We start from the raw sequence: 18,453 nt of genomic DNA on the forward strand, positions 1-18,453 counted from the left end.
TTACTTGTTCTTTGTTATGCTTTTCAATCTCATGTTGAAATTTGATCCTTAATGTTGGAGGTGGGGCCGAATGGGAGGTGTTTCGGTCATGGGGGCAGATCCCTCGTGAATAGATTAATGTCCTCCCTTGGGGGTGAGTGAATTCTCACTATATTAGTTTCTGAGAGAGCTAGTTGTTAAAATGAGCCTGGAATCTGCCCCCTTCTCTTGCTTCCTCTGTCGCTATGTGATCTCTGCACACATCATCACCCCTTCACTTTCTGTCATGAGTGGAGGCAGCCTAAGGCCCTCACCACATGTGGGTGCCCAATCATGAATTTTCCAGCAATCAGAATTGTGAGCCAAATAAACCTTTTTTCCTTCCTAAACTACCCAACTTCAGGCATTCCTTTATAGCAACACAAAATGAACTAAGATATTCTTTACCATATTTTAAAATGTGGTAGTAAAATTAGACATGATTAAGAGACCACAGTCTTAGCAGGATATTCCAAGAATGGACACCTTTGCTTGAACTCCACTGAGGCCCAAGGCCACTCTACTGGAACATATGCATTTACTTCTTTTCTTTGTCTCTATGGTACACTTTTCTTTTCTACCTTCTCTTCTCCTTTTCTCTCTTTTTTTAATGTCCAGACTCCACTTTATATCACAGGTCTCCCAGACATTGCCGAGGAGGCTATAGTCCATTAAGTACCTGTCTTCCAAACTGTCAGAAATGCTGAGAATTCTCTACTGGGCTTAATGAAAGAAAAACAGCACAGGTTTCTAAGTCTGAGGAATGCAAGATAGAATCTCAACTCTGCCAATTTTTTTGTTTGTTTTTTTTGAGATGGAGTTTCACTCTTGTTGCCCAGGCTGGAGTGCGATGGTGCAATCTCCACTCACTGCAACCTCTGCCTCCTGGGTTCAAGTGATTCTCCTGTCTCCTCCTCCCGAGTAGCTGGGATTATAGGTGCCTGCCACCACGCCAGGCTAATTTTTGTATTTTTAGTAGACAGAGTTTCACCATATTGGCCAGGCCAATATGAACTCCTGATCTCAGGTGATCCACCCGCCTCAGCCCAGCCTCCCAAAGTGCTGGGATTACAGGCGTGAGCCGCTGCACCTGATAACTTTGCCAATTATTAATTTTGTAACTTTGAAAACATTTTCTAACTTTCTTCAGACTTGAATTTCTTATTTGAGGAGAAAAAAAATGAGATGCAATATCTTCTTGCTTGAGCCTACTAGCCTTCAAATTAGCTGCAATTAAACTGAGAGCGAGGCGTAGAGGTGGGGAAGCAAAAAAGTAAGACAGGCTTGAAAACTATACGTAAGAAGTATATCTAAGAATATTGTGTATGTCCTGGAAACAGAACTCACTGGGAGGAAAATAGTATAGAAGCCTTGTCAGTTTCTGAGGAAACTGGATTGCAAAAGAACCCGCAGGCATGACTAAACATGCTTGACTGTTTAAGACACTGAAACAACAGCTAGGCCACCTCTTGAACAAGCAGCTGATGAACGTACTCTGTAACGCCCACTTCTGTTCCCGATCTTGTGCTTGGCATAGGCCCTAAATATATGTCTGTTCCCTCCCATATTGTATTCCCACCCTTAAGGACAATTCTATTTTCTGCTTCTAAAGATTAGGTCCCTAGGTCTAGGAATAAATTGCCACTACCCATGCTTTGGGCCTTTCACTCTGTCAGGGGCTGCAAGAATCTGGCAGCTAGCAGAGCCCAATGGTGTTTGGAGAAAGAAATCCCTTAATCACCGTGGTATAACTAGTGAGGTTACTTCTCTTCCATGAAGACATTCTGCCTCTCCTCTCTGATTGACTCATCTATTCTCCTAGTAATGCTAGTCCAGCGTGGAAATGATAGCATTTACTTACACATTATTTACACCATATACTCCTTTTTTAGTCTTTTGAACACTCATTGTGCCACCAGGAAAACTCTTCAGGTCTTTGATCACAACTAAAAGTCAGAGTATATGGTCTGACTATTACTTATCGGGACTCTAGGTGGAATGTTTTTAAAGGGTGTGTCAGCATAGACAGGTAGCAAATCTGTCCACAGCATGCTTTTTTGGTCCTCTGTGAATTTTTTTTTTTTTTTGAGACGTAGTCTGTCTCTGTTTCCCAGGCTGGAGTGCAGTGGTGCTATCTTGGCTCACTGCAAGCTCCGCCTCCCTGGTTCATGCCATTCTGCCTCAGCCTCCCCAGTAGCTGGGACTACAGGCGCCTGCCACCAGGCCCGGCTAATTTTTTCTATTTTTAGTAGAGACGGGGTTTCACCCTGTTAGCCAGGACGGTCTCGATCTCCTGACCTCGTGATCCACTCACCTCAGCTTCCCAAAGTGCTGGGATTACAGGCGTGAGCCACCATACCCAGTTGGTTCTCTGTGAATTTCTGACAAGGTTTGCATGGTGCCTTGGTTCTGATGGAAAGTACACATTTCTGCTGGCATGTCAAGAGTCCAGGGTAGACTGGTACACAGTGGCACTAACATTTTGCTGCCTCCAACCCCTCCACATCCCAGGGCATTGAGGTATACGTCTCCTTTAAGGAGTGGAGAGCAAATGGAAAAGGTAGGGAGGGAAAAAAAGCATGTAGGAAGTGAAAAGAAGAGAGAAAAAAGGTCTATAATTCCCGTCTTGTGAGTCTCCACTGGGCACATACCTGCTTCTTCATGGAGAAAGCCTGCTAATGTGCTCCACGATGCTTTCCTTTTTCTCATCCCTTCACCCAACCTACTTTCCCATTACAGCTTTTCCTCTATAATCCACCAAACAGTAGCCAGGTCAGGTTCAAAGGAAGATAAGAAGCCTGGAGACGTACGACTGTGATGTATGTTACTGACATAACAGTACTGTAGTTCCTAAATGAACAAAAGAAAAAGAAAACTAATTTATTACTGTCCCAGAATAGTAGCCAGGACTGACCCTTGCTAAAATATCTCCCTTTCCCCAACTCTACAAAGGAATTGAATGCACAATAAAAGGAGATCACCTCTCCCAGAGTCCTCTTACTTGCTCCTTCCCTTCCAGTGTTTCTTTCCATCTTTACCTGAGGGCTTCGCAGACTTTATCCTTTTCATCCTGAAAGCATTGCTTCTTTCTAGGATGCTAAGAGTTATTTTCCTGGTAACCTAGCCCATAAGAGAGACTTAAAAAGCACTAATTCCATTTACTCCAATTAAAATAATCAAATACACCATTCACACTAAGGTATTACAATTATTTCCAATAAAGAAATTTTCATTTTAAATATAGAATTCTAGAAAAGCCTTAATTAACAGAGCAGAAGTAAAAAATTGGTCATGAATGACCTCCTCCACTAGCAAATGTGTTTTGTTTGGCCTACCAAGTGTTTTAACAAAATAGAGAAGTTTTTAAAAAACCTTTTCTATAGAAGTATGAATTCCCTGGCTTGCTTTTTAAAAACCTCAGCCTGTGTTTGGTGATATGGTTTGATCCCATTTTCTGAGGACAAATTCAAGCCTGCTGCAGAAATTTGCATAAGTAACAAGGAGCTGAATGTCAATCCCCAAGAGGATGGGGAAAATGACTCCAGGACATGTCAGAGGTCTTCATGGCAGCCCCCCCAATCACAGGCCTGGAGGCCTAGGAGAAAATGGTTTCTTAGGCCAGACCCAGTATCCCCATGCTGTGTGCAGCCTAGGGACTTGGTGCTCTGCATCCCAGCTGCTCCAGCTGTGGCTGAAAGGGGCCAACATAGAGCTCGGGCTGTGGCTTCAGAGGGTGCAAGCCCCAAGACTTGGCAGCTTCCATGTGGTATTGAGCCTATGAGTGCACAGAAGTCAAGAATTGAGGTTTGAGAACCTCCGCCTAGACTTCAGAAGATGTATGGAAATCCCTGGATGCCCAGGCAGAAGTTTGCTGCAGGGGCAGGGCACTCATGGAGAACCTCTGCTAGGGCAGTGCAGAAGGGAAATGTGGGGTCAGAGCCCCACACAGAGTCCCTACTGGGCCACCACCTAGTGGAGTTGTGAGAAGAGAGCCATTGTCCTCCAGACCCCAGAATGATAGATCCACCAATAGCTTGCACCGTTTGCCTAGAAAAGCCACAGACACACAATGCCAGCCTGTGAAAGTAGCTGGGAGGGAGGGTGTACCCTGCAAAGCCACAGGGGTGGAGCTGCCCAAGATCATGGGAACCCACCTTTTTCATCAGCGTGACCTCGATGTGAGACCTGGAATCAAAGGAGATCATTTTAGAGATTTAAAATCTGACTGCCCCAATGGATTTTGGACTTGCATGGGCCCTGTAACCCCTTTATTTTGTACAATTTATCTCATTTGGAACAGCTGTATTTACCCCATACCTTCCATTGTATCTAGGAAGTAACTGGTTTGCTTTTGATTTTGTAGGCTCATAGATGGAAGGAGCTTGCCTTGTCTCAGATGAGACTTTAGACTGTGGACTTTTGGGTAATGTTGAAATGAGTTAAGACTTTGGGGAACTGTTGGAACGCATGATTTGTTTTGAAATGTGAGGGCATAAGATTTGGAGGGGCCAAGGGCAGAATGATATGGTTTGGCTCTGTGTCCCGACCCAAATTTCATCTTGAATTGTACTCCCATAATTCCCATGTGTTGTGGGAGGGACCCAGTGAGAGATAATTTGAATCACTGGGGTAGTTTTCCCCACACTGTTCTCATGATAGTGAATAAGTCTCACGAGATCTGATGGTTTTATCGGGGGTTTCTGCTTTTGCATCTTCCTCATTTTCTCTTGCCACTGCCATTTAAGAAGTACCTTTAGCCTCTGCCATGATTCTGAGGCCTCCCCAGCCATGTGAAACTGTTAAGTCCAATTAAACCTCTTTTTATTCCCAGTCTCAGGTATGTCTTTATCAGCAGCGTGAAAACAGACTCATACACTCGGCCAGAGGACTGCCCACTGCTTCCCGTAGACTGGCTATGATGCTTGGTTTGCCAAGACCCCACCACATCTTATCTTGTCCACAGGGTGTTACACTCATCTCGGTTACCTCCCTGACCTCTCATAGAGCTTGAATCTGCAACTGCTGAACTAAGTAAATTAACACATATCTAGATTTCAGGTGCCCCTTCTTCCTCTCCAGAGTGCTTTCTCTGAGACCAACTCTACCGTTTCCCAGAGTCAGAAGATCCCCTCTCATGGCTCTACACACTACTTACTGCCTGTCTTCTTCTTTAATTTGTCTGTTCCCCTTCCCAGCACATGCACGCATCTTGAGTGCGGAAACAGTTTTGGTGTTCTTTGTAACCACAGCACAATCCACATGATGAATACTCCTGGCAGGCAGATTAAATCTTACCCAAATTAGTATGTGCTTTACTTGGTATTTTCTGTGAAATTACTTCCAGAAAGTTCTTTAGTTTGTCACTTCTTTGGCTATAGTTAGGCAGCCAACAGCAGGACAATTCTACAGAAATGAAATATTTTTTCTAAAATCCAAGAAAGATGATAAATGAGATTGATTAAATTTCAGAAGAAAAGTGGTAAAGCACTATTTGTATAAACCAAATTCTGTACGTGTCTTAGCCTAAGAAATAACCACCTGGAACACAATTTATATCTTCATAGCACATTTTCTCTGTATACACAAGTCCTACTCCATCTTGAAGCAAGGTTTAATTGTCCTCTCCTTTTGAAGGATGTTCTCAGATTTTCTAGGCTAAGATCCAACAGCACTTTGACAGATTTCTATTGTAATGCTTTATTTGGTAAGTATTTATGTATTTGTTTTCCCCAGTGGCCTGTGGTACAGAATCTACATTATTCTTTAAATTTGAAATAACCATCAGAACTAGGCTGAGAGAAGGTGCTCAATGTATGTTTGTAGAATAAAGTTGCTTCAAAATTGGTATCATGAGATGAACTTAATTGTTTCTATTTGAAACAATATAAAAAACAGCAGTGTTACCAGTAGAAGGTATCCAGGTTCTTGGCATCTGGAACAAAGAATTGGACAAAACACACAAACAAAGCGAGGAAAGCAAGGGCAGGGATTTATTGAGAATGAAAATACACTCCACAGTGTGGGAGCGGGCCGAGCATAGGGGCTCAAGAGCCCCACTTACAGAATATTCTGGGGTTTCAATACTCTAGAGGTTTCCCATTGGTTACTTGGCATATATTCTATGTAAATGAAGAGAATGAAGTGAAGTCACAGAGTCATTTACTCAGTATGTGCCATATTGTAAATAGAGAGGATGTTACCTGATGCGTGTGATCTAGGTAAATGGAGAGGATGAATGTGAAGTTACAAAGTGTAAATCATGTGAATGGAGAGGATGAAGTGACTACATGTCTGCAGTCTGAACTACTTGGGAGACTGAAGTGAAAGGATCTCTTGAGCCCAGGAGGTCCAGGATGCAGTGAGCCATGATTGCACCAATGCATTCCAGCCTGGGTGACAGAGCAAGACCCTGTCTCATACAAAATAATAATATGATAAATAAATTACCAGTGTGCATAACATGCAATAAGGGCAAGTATTCATTAATAAAATGCTCACAAATATGTACTTTGGATTATGCCATAAAAGGTATTTCTCCCCATGGGTTATGTGAAAGTGCAAAAAACATTGATTTAAAATGTGACTGAGTTATTAATGTCTGTACAACTCAGCAGACAGTTCAGTATATATTTCAGTAACTTTTTTGTTAAAAATAAAGTTCGAGACCAGTCTTGCCAAATGACAAAACCCCGTCTCTACTAGAAAATACAAAAACTAGCCGGGCTTGGTGATGCACACCTGTAATCCCAGGTACTCCAGCTACTCCGGTGGCTGAGGCACGAGAATTGCTTGAACCCAGGAGGCGGAGGTTGCAGTGAGCTGAGATGGAGCCACTACATGGCAGCCTGGGTAGCAAAGCAAGACTCCATCTCAGAAAAAAAAAAAAAAAAAAAAAAAAGACAAGACATCTCCCTTCTTCTTTGTAGCAGAGCTGAGAGCTGGCATACAAACTCAGAGGGTTCAGGTTCCAACACTCAAGCTTTTTTCTTTCTTTTTTAAATATCTTGCTGGCAGAAAACTGCTTTCCTCTAAGCTGCCATTCAGGGCCCAGTGAAAAATGACCCTGAAAAATCCACCATCAAAGATTAAGAGAGAGCCCTCAAACTTTGCATGCTCCTGACAAGATCCCTCCTCCCTCATCTCTCAAAAACACCAGCTTTGTCACCATTATCTAATATGTCTTTATCCATATTTACATCAGTCATTGCAAGAAACCAAGGACTGATTCTTAGGAAATTGCTCATTCCTCCTTACACTCATTTTGATAAGGCTCTGTTAATTCCTGTTTTTGATCAGTCCTCAACCACTGAACTCCTCCAACTCTGTTCCCTGGAACTCCAATAATCAGCAAACTTCTCTGTGGCCTCAAGTTTTTTCCTAAAAGTTCCCTTCCACCTCTTCTTGCACTAACTGAACTTGGTGCCCCTGGAGGACAGTATCCCCTGCAGCCCCCTGCAGTGGTTTTGCCTTTCTTGTATCACTGGATGCAGACATATGCATGGGGGGAAGGGATGTCCTTTTTGTCCCCCATTGCCACTTCTAGGCTGCTGTCTTTTCTGACTCCATAAAAGGACTTGCTTGAATCTCAAATAATCAGATATTTTACCTTCTCCTTCCCTTTGTTATAGTCATTCATCTTCCCCAGATCACCCCTGCCTCCCACATTTCTTGAAGATTTTAGTTCCTGGTTAACAGTCAGCCTCCAAAACTACTTCTGTGATAAAATTATTCGCTATATATCAATGTGTACACACATGATCCTTTTAATTCCCAGGCTTTTTCCCCTCTACCAACCCAGTCCTCATCCTACATCTGGCACTTGCCTCACTCCTATAATCATATCCTAATCTTTTTCTTACAGAAACTAATACCCCTTTGTTACCTCATTTACACACTTCCCATTGCCATAAGAAAATTTCCTATTTTTCCTGTTCGCTTCCTCTCTGGCTTTCCTTTATGTATGCCTTTCTTTATTCTTTTTCTTTCATCTGTGGTTTTCAACTAAGGGCAATGTTGATGTCCACCCCTCCAGCAGGTATTTAGAGATGTCTGAAGACATTTTTGGTTATCACACCAAGAGGGTGTTACTGGCATCTAACAGGTAAAGGCCAAAGATGCTGGTGACATCTCCCAATATACAGGACAGACCTCCTGAATTTTCCAGTACAAAACATAATTCAGTGCAAAGAATTATTCAGTGCAACAGGTCAATAATGCCAAGGTTGATAAACTGCTTAACATTACCAGGATCTACAGTCCATTGATTTTAACATGGCGTTAGAGATCAAACTGCTTCCTCCAAAAAACATATGTTGAAGTCCAAACCCTGGGTTCCTCAGAATGTGACCTGATTTGGAGACAGGTCATCGCAGATGTAATTAAGTTAAGATGGTATTATGCTGGAGTAGGGTGCTATCCAATATGACTGACATCCTTATAAAAAGGATGCCATGTGAAGACACAGAGGCACAAGAAGAACTTCGTGTGAAGATGGAGGACTAGAGCGATGCATATACAAACCAAGGAACACCAAAGATTGCCTGCGGACCACCAGAAGCTAGGAAGAGGCAAGGAAGGATCCTCTTCTAAAGATTTCAAGAGAGCATGGTGCTGCTGACACCTTGATTTCAGACTTCTATATTACAGACCTACAAGACAATAAACAACCTTGTTCATGGTACTTTGTTACAGCAGCCACAGGAAGCTCATACAACTGGTTTCTCTGAACTTTGCTTGAATTTACGTTCTCACTTCCAGCCTTGCCCAGCTTAAATAATAAGACCAGAATACTAGCTATTAATAATGGAATCGTGTTTGCTAAGCCATAGAATATAAAATCTTACACTACTGTGTTTATTCTAATTAGGAAGCAAAGAGATTCAAATCTGGTTGTGCGTATTCATCTATCCAATCAAGTGATAAAATGTTATAGGCAGTTATGACAGAATTTGTCTCAGGGTAAATTTGAAAGATGGCAAAAATTTATGTGATACAGTAAATTGATAATATCAATGAGTTCTCCATTAACAGCAGAACTCTTGAGAGGGGATTTTCCTTATAAACCTGAGCTGAATTTTCTCAGAAGGTGCTCTGCATTAGTCCACATGTTCCAGATTTTAATTCCTTGTCCAGTGACCAGTGACCCCAAATCCATACTGTTGTTATCAAATCTCTGACCAACAACTCTGAGTGAATAATCTCAGCTTTAGTGGTGGGCCTGAAATAATTCTGTTCTACTTAATTAAATGACTTTGCAAACTCAAGGCTACATCAAAAAAAGAGAAATAGATGATTTTTAAAAATGAATATGATATTGTCATTTTTGCATAATTTGTTTTTATGCAAATATAACAAGTTTAAAAAATCATGATACTGCTTTGTATATGCTTTGTATTAAAAATATTTGAGAAACTAACATAATAGATGGTTTTAACTAAAACACTTGAAGATTTTACCTATGTATAGGCCAGGCGCGGTGGCTCACGCCTATAATCCCAGCACTTTGGGAGGCTGAGGCGGGTGGAACGTCTGAGGTCAGGAGTTAGAGACCAGCCTGGCCAACACAGTGAAACCCCGTCTCTACTAAAAATAAAAAAATTAGCTGGGTGTGGTGGCGGGCGCCTGTAATCCCACTACTCTGCAGGCTGAGGCAGGAGAATCACTTGGAGGTGGTTGCAGTGAGCCGAGATTGTGCCATTGCACTCCAACCTGGGTAACAAGAGCAAGACTCCATCTAAAAAAAAAAAAAAAAAGGTATGCTTGCAATTAATTTTAAATAGTTAACCTGATTTACTAAATATATGAGGGCAAGTTTTATGATGTTTAAATGCTTAAGAGAACCATATGGAAATGTGTAATTTTATTATTTGACTTATCCCAATTACTTATGTGTATAGAAAGGATTTCTTTATGGGATTTGTAATCTGCTCTTTTAGGTGCTTAAAGTTCTTGAGAAAATCCATTATATGAAATTGTGACCATAGCTGGAAACATTTATAGGAATATAATTAACCAAGTACATAAAATATGTTTAACTATTTAGAAACAATCATATTATTGGACTTAGACTTCCATTTCTTGAATTATATACCATTGACCTTTGAACAACATGGATTTCAATTGCAAGGGTTCACCTATACATGGATTTTTTTTTTCAATAAGTGTATTAGAAAAATTTTTGGAGATGTCTGACAATGTTTAAATATTCACAGATAAATCATGCCTAGAAATAGCAAAAAGATTAAGAAAAAGGTACGCCATGAATGCATAAAACATATTGATACTAGTCTATTTTCTTATTTACTCTATAAGATGTACAAAAATCTATTATAAAAAGTTAGTTTGTCTACACTTACACATACAGACACTTAAAGACTACATGGCACCATTCTCAGTTGAGAAAAATGTAAATAAATTGAGATGTACTATCAAAATAATAACTGCATAAAAACTATAATTAATTATAGTACATGTGGTACTTCTGTAATACTTTTGTAGCCACCTCTCATTGCTATTGCAGTGAGCTCAAGCATTGTATCTGCTTGAAATGTCATGTGATGCTAATCACCTCCAAGTGAGCAGTTTGTCTCATCCATAAATTGCGTATCCCAGTAAAAAGTGACCTTTTGAAGTTCTCACTCATTTTTCAGTGCAATATCATAAACCTTCAATAACACCATGGGACCCATACAAAGAGTCAGTAGTGCTGCTGGAAGTGCTCCCAAGAAACAGAGAAGAGTCACGACATTACCAAAAAAAGGTGAATTGTTTGATAGGTCCCATAGATTGGGGTCTGCAGCTGAAGTTTCCTGTCACTTCAGGATAAATGAATCTAGTATAAGGCTCATTGGAAAAGAAAAGAAAAAAAAGAGAAGAAAAGAGAAGATATGAAGCCATCACTACAGCTAGGCCAGGAAGTACCAAGACTTCGCACTTTTTGCAAAATACCTTTTTATGTCATATTGAAAATGCACCTTTTATGTGGGTGCAGGATTGCTATAAGAAAGGCATACTTATACACTCTAACATGATTCAAGAAAAAGCAAAGTCACTATATGATAACTTAAAGCAAAAGGAAGGTGAAAGATCTAAATCTGGAGAACTTAATGCCAGAAAGGATAGTTTGATAATTTTAGAAAGAAGTGTGGCTTAAAAAATGACAAGATAACAAGAAAAGCAGCTTTTGCCAACCAAGAGGCAGCAAATTTCCACACACCATTAAGAAACCCATTGAGGATAAAGGACATTTTCCTGAAGAGATTTTTATTGCAGATGAAAGTGCCCCATTTTGGGGGGTGGGGGAGAAATGCCACAAAAGATATTTACTAGTAAGGAAGAAAAGCAAGCACCAGGATTTAAGGCAGGAAGGGATAGGCTAATGCTATTGTTTTGTGCAAAAGCAGTTGGGTTTGTGATCAGGGCTGTCCCTATCTATAAAGCTACTAACACCCAAACCTTGAAGGAAAATAAAACACCAGCTGTCAGTCTCTTGGCTGTATTACAACAAGAAGGCCCAGAAAATGAGAACTCTTTTTCTGATTGGTTCTATCAATGCTTTGTTCCTGAAATTGGGAAGTACTTTGCCAGTAAAGGGCTTTTTTATAAAGTTATTTTGATATTGGACAATGTCCCTGGCCACCTAGAACTCTACGAGTTCTACACCAAAGGCATCAAAGTGGTCTATTTGGCCACAAACTCAGCATCTGTAATTCAGCGGAGATCGGGGGATCATAAGGACCTTTAAGGCTCATTATTCACGGTAGTCTATGGAATGATTGTCAGCACTATGGAGGAGAATCCCAATAGAGAGCACATCATGAAAGTTTGGAAGATTACCCCATTGAAGATGCCATCGTTGTTACAGAAAATGCTGTGAAAGCAATCAGGCCCAAACAAATAAATTTTGCTGGAGAAAACTGTGTCCAGGTGTTGTGCATGATTTCACAGGATTTGTGGCAGGACCAGTCAAAGGAATCTTGAAAGAGATTGTGGATATGGCAAAAATGGTGCAGGGATGAGAGGTTTCAAGATATGAATCATGAAGAAGTTCAAGAACGCATAGGCACCACATCAGAAGAATTAACAGAAGAAAACTTGATGGAGATAAGGACTTCCAAACCAGTGTGAGATAGTGAGGAAGAGTACATAGGAGAAGCAGTGCCAGAAAACAAATTGACATTAGACAATCTGGCAGAAGGGTTACAATTATTTAACACTGCTTCTGACTTTTTGTACAACATGGAGTCTTCTATGATACAAGAACTGAAATTAAAGCAAATGGTGGAAGGATTGGTACTGTATGGTATTATCTTTGGAGAAATGAAAAAGCAAAAAAGGCAGACAGAAATCATGTATTTCTGTAAAGCTACACCACTGTGCCTGCCACTCCTCCTTCCACCTCTTCCACCTCTTTCAGTTCTGCCACCCCTGAGACAGCAAGACCAACCCTTCCTCTTTCCTCTCTTTCTCAACCTACTCAGTGTGAAGATGACAAGGATGAAGACCTTTATGATGATCCACTTAATGAATAGTAAATATATTTTCTCTTAGGAATAGCTTAATAACATTTCTTTTCTCTATCTTACTTTATTGTAAGAATACAGTATATAATACACATAATATATAAAATATGTGTTAATTGAGTGTTTATATTATCAGTAATTCTTCCAGTCAGCAGTAGTCTATTAGTAGTTAAGTTTCTGGAGAGTCAAGTTATATGTAGATTTTTTACTGTGAAGGGAGACAATGTCCTTAACATCTGCCTTTTTCAAGAGTCAACTGTATATTTAAAATATGAAATAATTTAAGCTTATATATAGTACCTAAAGATTTATATACATTTTGTTCGTGAAATACATACATACATATATATATATATATATATATATATATATATGCCAACCAAACAATAACCAAGGACAAACCGTGCTTAATTTAACTGAAAAATGTTTACATTTATAGATTAATACCAAATGTTTTTCAATTATGTTTAAAACCTTAAGAAAAGCAAAGTTTTCCGTTTATAATTGTAGTTGAATGAGTGTCAGTGACAACACAGAGTACTGTAAGTATTGTTTTCTGCACACAAAAGCCTCTATGAATCTTTTCCAAAAAAGCCCAATTGATGTCACCCTGGGACAGAGCCAAAAAATCTTTCTGATGAAAGTAATGCTGAGGTCAAAAATAAAGAATCTGAAAACGTGAGCCAAAACAGATTGAGACTGAGTAGAAGAGAGGGATAACATTGTTCGGGGAACTGCAAGAGCTTTAGTCTTGAAGCATGAAGGATAAAGTAGGAATTCCTAAGGAGGTAGATGCCAAAACTCCTTAGCTGGGAAGCTATGTAAGAGGCAGCTAAAAAGTAACTCCCCCAGATGCCTCTCACTTTCAACACACATACTCGGTATGGTAAAAATAAATCTCATTGGCTTCTTCTTCAGATCTCTTTTCTGTGGAGAGGCCTTAGTGGGCACTGCTGCTGGGAAACAAATAAAGCTTTTGTTTGTGCTTTCTTCAGCAGAGCCTGGTGCTAGCTCTGTCACTCAGGAAACAGAACTCAATTGTTTCTCTCTCCTCATCCCTCTCTTGTTAACCAAATATGCTCATTTCCTGACAGTCAGTGGTACCATGTAAGGCCTCCTCCCCTCTTCTGCCTTCAGCTGCAAGGCTTCCATCTGAGTTGAGGTCAACACATACGCAGGAATGAAAAGAAATGATAAGGAGGAAATGTTTCAGTGGAATAAAATGTAAACTATGTACACCTCTGCCCTGCCACTGGTGGTTCCTGGGGGCTCCTTCTCCTGCCTGGCCACAGGCATCTGCTTGTTCCCAACTCAAGGCTTTCACATTTGCTGTATTTTCTGCTTGAAATATGAACCTTCCCTGTCATTTCAGTGGCTTCTTCAGCATTCTTCATTTTAGTCCACCCATGGGGCACAGAGGACCTTCCTGGACAGAGCCAGACTTGTGTTAGCCTCCTACTCAGGAGAGGCCTGGCTGGTGCCCTTCAGAACCCAAGGCAGAGGAACTGGCAGTCTCTGGAAAGCTCACAATGCAGTCATCCAAAGGCACAGCTTCACTGAGTGTACTTAGTTCTTTTTCCTCATGCGGGGTGTCATAGGTCTTGCCCAAAGAAAGAGATCAGGATAAGGGAGTTCCAGGGTGTCACGCAAGAGCCTAGGATTGACGCTGTCTCTTCTCTTACTAGCTCTGTGACCTTGAGCAACCCACTGATCTTCTTTGTACATCTGTTTCCTTATATGTAAATGAGTTTTAAAAGCCTTCTTATAGATAAAGAAGGTTAACTTAAAAATAATAGTTGACCCATAAGGTTACATTTAGGAATGGAAAGAATATGTTTGCGAAGATTTAGTAAAGTTTCTCAAGAGGTGTGTCTTCAATTTATTTTGATTGTATTGTGGTTTTCAATGATATTATTAGTTATGAAATGAACGACAGTTTCACTTGGTGGGTACCAAACTCTTTCAGATGACTCTAAGATTTCTTAGAGGCACTTCAGGTTACGCAAATGTCTAATCCTATTTTTTAATAGATTTTGTTTTTTAGGTTTTAAAATAGATTTTATTTTTTAGTTTTAGGTTTATAGCAAAGCTGAGCAGAAGGTACACTGATTTTCCACATACTCCCTGCCCCCACATACTCATAGCTTCCCCCACTAGCAATATCCCACGTAAGAGCACTATATTTGTTATAATGAAACTCCATATGACATTGACATATCATTGTCACCCAAAGTTCATACTATACATTAGGGTTCACCCTTGGTGTTGCACGTTCTATAAGCTTTGCAAATGTATCATAACATGTAGCCATCATTACAGTATTATGCAGAATAGTATCACTGCCCTGAAAGTTCTCTGTGCTCTGCTGATTCATTCCCTCTTCTTCCCTAACCCCAGACAACCACTGATCTTTTTACTGTCTTCATAGTTGTGCCTGTTGCAGAATGTTACGTAGTTGGAACCATAAAGTTTGTAGCTTTTTTAGATTGGCTTGCTTCACATGGTAATTTTCACTGTGTGACAGTGCATTTCTTTTTAATGGTGAATAATATTCCATTGAATGGATATACCGCAGTTTACTTATTCATTCACCTATTGAAGGACATCTTGGTTTCTTCCACATTTTGGTAATTATTAATTTAGCTGCTATAGATATCTGCATGCAGATTTTTGTATGGATGTGTTTCTAACTAATATGAGAAAATTCCAAGGAGCATGATTTTTGAATTATATGTTCAGAAGAAACTACCAAACTGTCTTCCAAGGTGGCTACACAATTTTTCATTGCCATCTGCAATAAAAGAGAGTCCCGGTTGCTCCACATTCTCACCAGCATTTGGTGTTCTCACTGTTTTGAATTTTTGCCATTTAAATAGGTGTATAGAGGTATCTCATCATTTTGAGTCACATTTCCCTGATAATATACGATGGTGAACATCTTTTTATGTGCTTATTAGTCATCTGTATCTTTTTTGGTGAGATGTCTGTTCAGATCTTTTGCCCATTTGTTGTGGGCAACCAATCTGGTTGTTCACTTTCTTACTGTTGAGTTTTAAGAGGGTTTTTTCAGGGGGTGGGTATATTTTGGATAACAGTCTTTTTTTTTTATCAGATATGTGTTTTGCAAATATTTTCTCCCAGTCTATGGGGTCATCTTCTTATTCTTTGTTAGTGGCCTCGACAGAGCAGAAACCTTTAATTCTAATGAAGTCTGGCTTATGAATTAGTTTTAATGAATCATGGTTTCGGTGTGGTATCTATAATGTCATCACCATACTCAAAGTCACCTAGATAGGAGATGGCAAGGTGGAGGGACTTCCTTTCTCCATATTTTTTTAGACAAGACGAACATATATTATATCCTAAATATATCAACCAAATTGTTTAAATAAGCATGCCAAGTGTTATACAATAGATTTTCATGCCCCCAAAACCAAGTGTTACATAATAAACATTCATGGCCCCAAACAATGTAATTTTAGATTTACCAAAGTTATGAAAAGAAAAGAAAAAAGCTCTGTTTTTCCTTTTTAAAAAAATCAATCATTTCTAACTCAGTCTCCTAACTTGAAATTTTTGATACACATTTGGAAATTAATTGTGTGCTGCCTCATGAGATGCAGTTCAACGTTTAGAAACATGGTAATGGTTCTAAGAGCCAAATAGGGTCCTCAGGAATCTGGGAAGAAGGGCAGGAATTACTTTAGGATTAATGTAAGTTTTATAATACTGAAGTTGAGATTCCTAAGTGAAAAGGAAAGGAATGAAAACAAAACTTGTTTATGTCTCTAAAGTGGGAGTTGCAATTTCACATACCCGCAGAAGTCAGGAGAGGTAAATGAAAAAATAGTTTAACAAGATGCTTGTTAAAATATGTTAATAAATAGTTTTCTCTCCTGACTCATTCCCTGACCTTTGAAGGGATTCTTTATTTGGACACCTTGACTTTCAACTCCACTTTCCCCCAAGATTATGCCTTCAGTTTCCCCTTTGCCCTGCAGCCTATTCTTTTGTGAAACTCCATGTAACTATCAGACTCAGCGCCCCAGCCAAGAGCAAAGTTCTCCATTTGCTAATAAGGAAAGGAATTTAGACATGCATAATGTTGCAAGAAAACTAAGAAAATAGAAGAGGTAAGCCAAGTAGAGCAAGAGCTCCAATATGCATGTGTGAGTAGACAGAGAGCCTTCCCCACTTTGACAATGATGGCAGCCAGCAGAATTTGTTTTTGCAACAGTTAGGCTCAGCAATTCTCCAAGCAGCGGCAATGTTCCTGCACTCACACTGCACATGGTTTTGTTGCAGGAAAGGAGTCCCGATCCAGACTCCAAGAGAGTGTTCTTGGATCTCATGCCAGAAAGAATTCAGGGCAAATCCACAGTGCAAAGCAAAAAGAAGTTTATTAAGAAAGTAAAGTGGTGAAAAAACATCCTACTCCGTAGGCAGAGTAGGATGTTCCCGAAAGTAAGAGAATGCATCCACCCTAGATACAATACTTGCTTATATATAGGATAAAAAAAGATGATGAGGAGACATGCTCTGTTGCAAGGGTTTGTGATACAGGATTTTTTAATTACTATATTTTGCAACAATCAATATTATCTTTAAAGCAAAATTAAGAACGCTTCTGTCTGAAGATATTGGGATATTGACCGGGCACGGTGGCTCACATCTGTAATCCCAGCACTTTGGGAGGTCAAGGTGGAGGATTACCTGTGATCAGGAGTTCAAGACCAGCCTGGTCAACATGGTGAAACCCCGTCTCTACTAAAAATACGATAATTAGCCAGGCGTGGTGGTGCACACCTATAGTCCCAGCTACTCGGGAGGCTGAGGCAGGAGAATTGCTTGAACCAGGGAGGCAGAGGTTGCAGTGAGCAGAGATCCCACCACTGCACTACAACCTGGGCGACAGAATGAGACTCCATCTCAAAAAAAAAAAAAAAAAAGATATCGGGATATCAGGATACTCCCAAGTCTGAGTCTGATTAGTAAACATTATAAATCTGTTCCCTTAACTGTAAACATCTAGAGGTTGGAAATACCTAACTTTCTGGGAATGCAGCCCAGCAAGCTCCAGCTTCATTTTTCCTATCCCTCACTCAACATGGAATTGCTCTGGTTTGAATGCCTTTGATAGTTTGACTGTGTTTGAATTTCTCATTGAATGAGTCCATAAGAAAGTAAAGAGAGAGCAGCAAAATATACCTAAGAAAATTAAGCTCAAACACTTGACATAGTGAATATAAATGACTTCTAGACTCTCACTGGAGAAAAGGAAGGAAATTAAGAAGAGAGAACTCTGTTAAGTCGTTAGTGGAAGGAAACCACTGTTGAACATTACTGAGAATGCATGTATACTCTTTGTTGTCCTTCCCCTGATGCTGTACCCCAGGAAAGCAAGGCTACAGATGTTTCCTCAACAAAACACTGAATGTAGTAGAGCAATGCAGCTATTCTGGACTTGGAGTCAGACGACCCAAGTTCACATTCTGGCTCCACCGTCATCATGCTCTCTCTCACAAATTATCTCCCTAGACACTGGCCTCCTAATTTTTAAAAAAGAGATGACATAAAAATATTCATCTTATACTGCTATTAAAGAAAGGACAAGAGGTAATATATGTACAAGAATTTTCAAACACTAAAGTGCCTTATTAATTTGAGGTTGTTTAATGACTTTTTAATGCTTTAGCACTTATGGTGTTCATACTAAGTATTTGTGATTTAAATGATACAGATCAGAAAGATAATTCAGAGTTTTAATCCAAAAAAGAGTCTGGATATTAACAGAGACATTTGGCAGGATAGAAATAAGTAGTGTAAATAATATGAAGGGTTTCTAAGTCATGTAAAACATCAGTTAAAATCCAAGATCTGCAATGTACTAACTATGTGATCACAGAGCTATCAC

At 39.8% G+C, this 18,453-nt stretch overlaps 1 long non-coding RNA gene across 1 annotated transcript in view, besides 2 other annotated features; it reads right to left on the reverse strand.

Annotated features, from left to right (window-relative positions):
- The window catches only part of LOC105374041 (uncharacterized), a 28,575-nt gene that overhangs the window by 1,893 nt on the left and 8,229 nt on the right, over positions 1–18,453 (reverse strand). The window contains exons 2-3 of the long non-coding RNA XR_924334.3: positions 4,173–4,203; positions 2,670–2,868 (exon numbers count right to left, since the gene is read on the reverse strand). This is a non-coding gene — a long non-coding RNA (uncharacterized LOC105374041). The remainder of the gene's footprint in view (positions 1–2,669; positions 2,869–4,172; positions 4,204–18,453) is intronic.
- Positions 13,253–13,868: an enhancer, noted in NCBI's record as "OCT4-NANOG-H3K27ac hESC enhancer chr3:112109833-112110448 (GRCh37/hg19 assembly coordinates)". NCBI's record gives its function as "activates a minimal SCP1, AML or CMV promoter by ChIP-STARR-seq in primed H9 embryonic stem cells {active_cell/tissue: H9 hESC(primed)}" and the evidence as "EXISTENCE:reporter gene assay evidence [ECO:0000049][PMID:30033119]".
- Positions 13,919–14,028: an enhancer, noted in NCBI's record as "active region_20239". NCBI's record gives its function as "activates an Ori minimal core promoter by ATAC-STARR-seq in GM12878 lymphoblastoid cells {active_cell/tissue: GM12878}" and the evidence as "EXISTENCE:reporter gene assay evidence [ECO:0000049][PMID:35858748]".

The sequence above is a fragment of the Homo sapiens genome, chromosome 3 (genome assembly GCF_000001405.40).
Source record: "Homo sapiens chromosome 3, GRCh38.p14 Primary Assembly".
NCBI lineage: Eukaryota > Metazoa > Chordata > Mammalia > Primates > Hominidae > Homo > Homo sapiens.